Source organism: Homo sapiens, chromosome 8 (assembly GCF_000001405.40).
Source record: "Homo sapiens chromosome 8, GRCh38.p14 Primary Assembly".
NCBI lineage: Eukaryota > Metazoa > Chordata > Mammalia > Primates > Hominidae > Homo > Homo sapiens.
Window position 1 is genome coordinate 130,669,507 of NC_000008.11, and position 6,963 is coordinate 130,676,469.

Sequence of the window (6,963 nt, forward strand, 5' to 3'; positions counted from 1 at the left end):
CAAAAAACAGTGACTATGGGATGTGATAGCTGTGTTAACTAACTACTTGATTGTGGTAATCATTTCACAATATATATCAAATCATCATGGTGTATAACTTAAACTTACACGATGTTATTTGTCCATTATCCTTTAACAAAACTGAGGAAGAAAAAGGACTAAAGTAAAGAGTCAATGAGGCAGAGAAATTTTTGCAATGTTTTGTGAAATTCAAAGTCATTCAGAATATCCATTTCACTTACTTAACAATTTTTTTGTGGTGATACATTTGAAATTTACTCTCAGGTTTGATCATTCTACATTGTACATATATATCAAAACAACACATTGTACTCCACAAATGTAATACAATTATGATTTTTCAATTAAAAATAATATTTTTACTTAAAAAGTCATCCTGCAGCCTGGAGGGGTTGATTTGTAAAGCCTGGGTTTCAAATACAGGAGGTGGATAGGGTGGAGTGTGAGTGTGTGTGTGTGTGTGTGTGTGTGTGTGTGTGTGTGTGTGGGTGTGGGTGGAAGGTAGACTGGATGGTCAGATATGGATATGATCAATGTTAAAGCTGACAACTGAAAGATGAGCTGTTGTTTGCCAAGCAGGGGAGTAGAATGGCGGTCTTTTTGGCACTGGTAGCTACTCATGACTTGCTGGAGTGGAGAGTGTGGTAGAGGTCTCACTGAGAAAACGAGCAAGGGGCAGTTCTGTCCCCTGCTGATCTTTGCTGGCTCAGGTTCCATTTTGGTCACATCCTTCTATCAGAGATAAATATTGATTGATGAGTTCTTAACTTTTCTCTTTGCTGTTGTTTAAATCTCAATTTCCAAAGTATAGGATTGTTCTGCTCCAATCTTTAGCCTTTAGAACCCATGTTCCTTGAGCTCTGGTTAGCTGATCTGCCAACCAATGAGGACAAATTCCAGAAACTCCTTAGGCTCAACCCTTCTTTAAAAATTTCTGCCATGTACTAATTTTTTTCTGTGACCTTGCAACCAACTTAATGTCTGTGGGTATATGACTGTGTGTGTGTGTGTGTGTGTGTGTGTGTGCGTGCGTGCAGGGTGTTTGCAGGGTGGGAGAAGGATATATCTTTGTCACTTTCTCCCTACGATATAATAGGTACAATTCCTCAACAATAACACAACATTTCTTTGATTTTAAGACATATTAGTAAGACACATCATCATTTTATTAACCTTTTTTTAGAGGTAAAAATACATACAATGCACTGTTGCATATGCTTTTTAATACTAAATCTCATCTAGATTCCAAAGCTTTAAAATGGCCTAGCTGGGTCGGGGCGGTGGCTCATGCCTGTCATCCCAGCACTTTGGGAGGCCAAGGCTGGTGGATCATTTGAGGCCAGGAGTTTGAGACCAGCCTGGCCAACACAGTAAAAACCTGCTTCTGCTTAAAATACAAAAAAAAAAAATAAGCCAGTGGGATGCGGCTGTAATTCCAGCTACTCAGGAGGCGGAGGCATGAGAATCGCTTGAACCCAGGAGGCACAGGTTGTAATGAGCCGAGATCACGCCACTGCACTCCAGTTTGGGTGACAGAGTGAGACCTCATATCAAAAAAAAAAAAAAAAAAAAAGTCTAGTTGAGGAAAATTTGTAATATGATCAGGTGAAATTTTATGAACACTTATTGTTTGCCCAGCTAGATTAGCTAGCTAGCCCCAAAAGATGTCCATGTCTTAGTTCCTGGAACCTGTGAGTTAGTTTTACCTTATATGGGGGCAAAAAGGATCTTGGCAGATGTGATTAAGTTAAAGATGTTGAGATGGGGAGATTATCTTTGATAATTTGGGTGAATGCTAAGTGCAGTCACATATATCATTACAAGAGGGAGGTAGAGGGAGATTTTACACACAGAGGGGAAGGCACTATGATCATAAAGGCAGAGAGCAAGGTTTGAAGATGTTGGCCTTGAAAATTGAAGGAATGTGGCCACAAGCCAAGGAATGCTGGCAGCCACCAGAAGCCAAAACAGGCCAGGGACGAATTCTCCCCTAGAGCCTCTGGAGAGAGCACAGCCCTGCAGACACCTCCATTTTGGCCCAGTGATATGGATTTCAGACTTCTAGGACTGTAAGAAAATACATTTCTGTTGTTTAAAACCAAGTTTGTGGTAATTTGTAATTTGTTACAGCAGCCACAGGAAACTAATACAGCAGCCCTGTGCTAAGCATCTGACATACACACATCATCTTATTTAAACCTTAGAACAGTCCTTGTTAGCAGTGGCAGCATATATATACGCATTGTTCTAGGTGCTGAAGATATATAGATGAATGAAACAGACAATTTCTGCCCTTATTGAGTTACAAATAGACAAGACGACAGAGTATATGCTCTGAAGCTATATATTTAAGAGACATGCAGGATAAAAGAAAAGTAGGTCATGGAGCAGGTATAATTTTTGGCCAGGGAATGTCTCTTTCTGAGGAGATGATGTTGCTCAGAGACCTGAAGAAAGTGAGGGAATGAGTGTGGAAAGATCTGGGGGAAGGATGTCCTGGCCAGAGGGAACAGCAAACATGAAGGCTTTAAAGCAGGAACAGACTTGGAGCATTTGACAGCAGGAAGAATGCCGGTGTGGGGGAGCCGAGTGGGCAAAGTGGCCTCACAGGTGATGAGTTTGGTGCAGGAAACTGCCTATTGCATGGCAGTAGTGACACCATCTTGAAGAGAAACCACCGTGATCACTGACGGTTGACTCCCACGTACCAAGGTGTTCTGCATTAAGCTCTTTAAACAATGCCAGTAGCAGATAACCCTTCATAAATATGCTTATCTAAGCTCCCCAGTGGTCACAAGTTGTGGCAAGAAAGTCTGAAGATGTGACCAGCTGCATGTTTTACCCTAAAGTCTTGCTATATAAAGAATACTTTCTGGAGGGCGGGTGCAAGTATCCACCATTTTGTGGCCCTCCAAGGCTTCGGTTCTGTATATAAGTCCTTAGTAGATATTTCTTCCGAGGAACTGGATTTGTTAGCCTCTTTCCTCGGCCTCTCAGCTCCCTTGAGGGTAGGCTTGCATAGGCCTGCCCACCACAGAACAGTCGGAGAAAGGCACAGAGTCAAGTCCTGTGGGGCACAGTGTAGACCCTGGAGGAAAGTTGGAACTTGCTGCGAGAATAATGGGAAGCCCTAGGAGGGTTTTGTGCAGGCGATTTGTAAGCTGGAGAGCTCTTTAGGGTAAGGACTATGTCTTCTTATGTTCTCCCACAGCTGAGGTGAGCTCACAGTCCAAAAAAGCAAGATGCACCCTGAAATCTATGATGGCAGAAGGCGAGAAGAAAGAAGGGGAAGGGTACTGGGACTGCGTGAAGCTGCTCTCTGGCCCCTATTCCAGCTTTTCCGCTCCTGACCTCATTTTTTCCTCATTTTACTGCCGTGACTAAGCAGCGAAGAAATGATATCTTCTATTTTAAGACAGGAAACCGAAGCAAAGAGAGGTTGACTCACTTGGCCAAGGTCCCTGCACTGATTATGACAGGGCCCAGATGGGGACCTAGGCTTCCCGACCCCTGGCTCAAGGCTCTCTGAAATACCCAGAGTCCTCCTAAGGGAAGCTGCCTCCACCCTTCCTGACTCTGAAAGCAGCAATCCACAGGGGTTGGAAGGCCCCTAGGTCTGGATGTTCCAACCAGAGAAGCCACTGTAAACCACTTCTGAGCAAACAGAAATGAACACTCTCAGGGACCTGGCAGACTAAATAAAGAGTGTTACCACTGGGTATCACCCACAGCGGAACCATCTGCTTCACAGAGCAGCCGAGAAAGATGTTCACGTGGCACCGTGCAGTGCTTGTTAGGAGTTTCTGCGGAAGCCCGCTGGGAGACCACCGCTCTGCTCACATGTGGAGGCTGCTAGATTCATACCACAGCAGAAACGAATCTAGGTCCAAGACCTCAGGTGTGACCAGAAATGTAACTTTTTTTTTTTTTTCTCCTACAAGGGACTCTAGTTTTGATTTCAAGTTGCTGCTAGGTTTAAGTGCAGAAAAGATAATTTCAGTCCACTTGGGCGTTGCTGTCTGGGGATGCATCTGAGCTCTGGGAGTTTTGTGGAGGAGGCACCTGGAGCCCGGTGGTGTCCTGGCTGCAGGCTGACATTCCCCCTAGAGCCTCAGTCATTTGTCCATTGCTCTGTCCTCTCTCGTGTCTGACCATGAGTCAGTCCTCCTTTGACCCTCTGGATGGGAGAATATTCTACCATTCCCTGACCCACTGTAGTGTAAACGAAACACCATTTCTGGTCTAATTCTGCTGTTCTCACAACAGACTGAGGCATGGGGGGCCCTGTGAGGCTGCCATAAGGTATATCTAGATCTACCGTACAGGCATGTCTTCTGGTCCCACGCCATTCTGAGCTTGGGCTTGGGGACAGGCTTGTGGCTCCACAGACTCTGCCTTCTCTTGACTTCTCTAAACCTATTTGCGGGGGCTCACCCACTCCCTGGACTCCTGGCTGGGATGGGGATGGGATCCACATCTCCTTATTTCTTCTGTCTTTAACCTGGTCCAGGCAAGCTTCTTGTGGTCTCAGAAAACCCAAAGCATAATAGTCCATCCTCACTACACTTTCTTCTAACTCTCTTGTTTCGAGAGTTAAGGCTTTAAAAACGGAAAACCCAAAATCGTATCTTCTGTTCTGGCCGCATTCCTCTGGGTCATTTCTTCCTTAAGCCAAGGAACACTGAATGTTGTGCCTGCTGCTTAAATGCAGGGAAAGGAACACGGGGTACAAGGAAATATGAGGACCACAATATAAAACAAAATAAAACCATGTTAATCTTCCAAGATACTAACTCTTCCACTCCATTATATGCCAGTGTTGGAAACATCTGCTTTGAAGTCAGGCAACCTGGTTTGACTCCTAACTGCAAGGCGCTTCGTTTATCAACTGGGACACACACATAAACCTCTGGCTCTCATCTATAAAATGGAAGTAATTATTCCCCTGTGATGAATTATTTTGAGAATTATAAAAGGCAATGTCTGTTAAGCTATTGATACACTGCTGGGTCATTATCATTACCATCACACCATCTGACCAGGTTTCCAGTTTGTTGAAAGTCTTTGGTGTTTATAATTTCTATTACCTATATTGTTCATACCCTCTTGCTAACTGTGGCTTTGCTTAGTTTTCTGGCCCCTTTCCCATCACTTCCTCCCCTGTCTTCTGAGTTGGATGTTGTTATTTAGATGAGATCATTCACACCTCTGGATGTTTGCTCACTCCACCTGGATCATCTTTCTGCCTCTCTGGGTACCTCTCCAAGGGCCCCCTTCCTGTGTCCTACCAGCATCCACTCACCACGGCAGGTCCACTCCCTTTGTGCTTAGCTAAAATGTCATCTCTCTGGAGAAGCCTTCATGATCCTCGTTGGATGCTTCCATAGTGTTCTGGACAATCTTATGCTAAGATTCTTTTCATATTGTACCATCATGTTTTTAATCCTGGGCCTGACACATGGGAGACACTTGGTAAGGTATACCTTTGTCGACTTACACAAATGATACAATCTGCGGCATATCTGGCTGTATCCGTGAAAAACATATTTTACACCAGGCTCTATTCAGGTTGGTTCCCAAACACGAGGGATTAGATTTCTGATTCTCATTTTTTCCTTTTTATAGGTTGTGGTTTAAAATTAAGAATCTTTTATTTTAATTTTTAAAACCATTACAGTTTATTCTTGATTCCTACCATTGCTTTTTAAAATTCTTCTTTTTTATTTAGACTCTTTTTTTTTTCTTTTGGTATAGAGACGAGGCCTCACTATGTTGCCCAGGCTGATCTCAAACTCCTGAGTTTAAGTGATCCTTCCACCTCGGCCTCCCAAAGTGCTGAGATTACAGGCATAAGCCACCATACCTGGCATGATTCCTACCATTGCTTTTTGCTTTCTCCATAAATCATTTCTCTCCTCCTCACTGAGAGCGCGGCTCCGGAATTAGCAGGCTGCTCAGTCACTTTATCATGTAACACCCAGCTACAAAGCAAATCAAATACTGCTGGCAGGTTCTGCTTGATGAGAAAATATTTATTATGTTGGAGCTCTGGTTTGGAAGCCAGTTATCACTTACTAGCTGTGTTTTAATATTGTGTTGTTTTTCCATTATTGCTTTAGCTGCTGGAAGGAAATCCCAATGGCCTCAGATACTGCCACCTGGCGGTGAAGTGAAATGATAACCAGTTTTTGAGCAAAAGTAGGTTACTGAAGGTCAAACATGCTTGCTGGAGAATTGCAAAGAGGGGAAGCACCATACCATTTTTGTAATGCTTGTGCCATGCCAGTAACTTTGTGAGTCACGCACCAGCTCATCTAATCCCCACTATGGCTCTACAAGGGAGATGCTATGGTCTCATTTCACAGATCGGGAACTGGAGGCTCTGAGAAATTGACTTGCAAGAGGGCTAAGGTTTGGGAGATTCACACCTGGAAGCATCTGACCCCAAAACCCATGCTCTTTCTACCATTCCTGATGATCTCCTATAGATAGAGCCAATCATCTACCATCTGGAAAATTTAGATTCACCTCAAATCTTTTCCCCTTTGGAGACATAGGGGTAAATGAATGGTCAGTAGATTCAGATATCAGCTAAGATGCTCTTTAGAAGAGAAATTAGGTTGGTTTCCTAAAGGGATGGGGCCAGTAGGACAAATGGGTAGCAGCTACATAAAGAAAAACTTCGACGCAGGCAGATCATGAGGTCAGGAGTTCAAGACCAGCCTGGCCAACATGGTGAAGCCCCGTCTCTACCAAAGATACAAAAAATTAGCAGGGGGTGGTGGCATGTGCCTGCAATCCCAGCTACTTGGGAGGCTGAGGCAGGAGAATCGCTTGAACCCAGGAGGCGGGGGTTACAGTGAACCAAGATCACGCCATTGCACTCCAGCCTGGGTGACAGGGCAAGACTCCATCTCAAAAAAAACACAAAAAACAAAAAAC

General features: G+C 44.0%; 4 annotated features.

Moving 5' to 3' along the window:
- Positions 3,331-3,475: an enhancer, noted in NCBI's record as "145 bp enhancer 239 fragment used in the MPRA reporter construct; PK_construct_3773". NCBI's record gives its function as "activates an SV40 promoter by MPRA in K562 cells {active_cell/tissue: K562}" and the evidence as "EXISTENCE:reporter gene assay evidence [ECO:0000049][PMID:23512712]".
- Positions 3,398-3,408: a transcriptional cis regulatory region, noted in NCBI's record as "NFE2L2 motif; enhancer 43 activity is reduced when this motif is scrambled". NCBI's record gives its function as "necessary for full MPRA enhancer 239 activity {active_cell/tissue: K562}" and the evidence as "EXISTENCE:site-directed mutagenesis evidence [ECO:0005528][PMID:23512712]".
- Positions 6,093-6,142: an enhancer, noted in NCBI's record as "active region_27987". NCBI's record gives its function as "activates an Ori minimal core promoter by ATAC-STARR-seq in GM12878 lymphoblastoid cells {active_cell/tissue: GM12878}" and the evidence as "EXISTENCE:reporter gene assay evidence [ECO:0000049][PMID:35858748]".
- Positions 6,193-6,282: an enhancer, noted in NCBI's record as "active region_27988". NCBI's record gives its function as "activates an Ori minimal core promoter by ATAC-STARR-seq in GM12878 lymphoblastoid cells {active_cell/tissue: GM12878}" and the evidence as "EXISTENCE:reporter gene assay evidence [ECO:0000049][PMID:35858748]".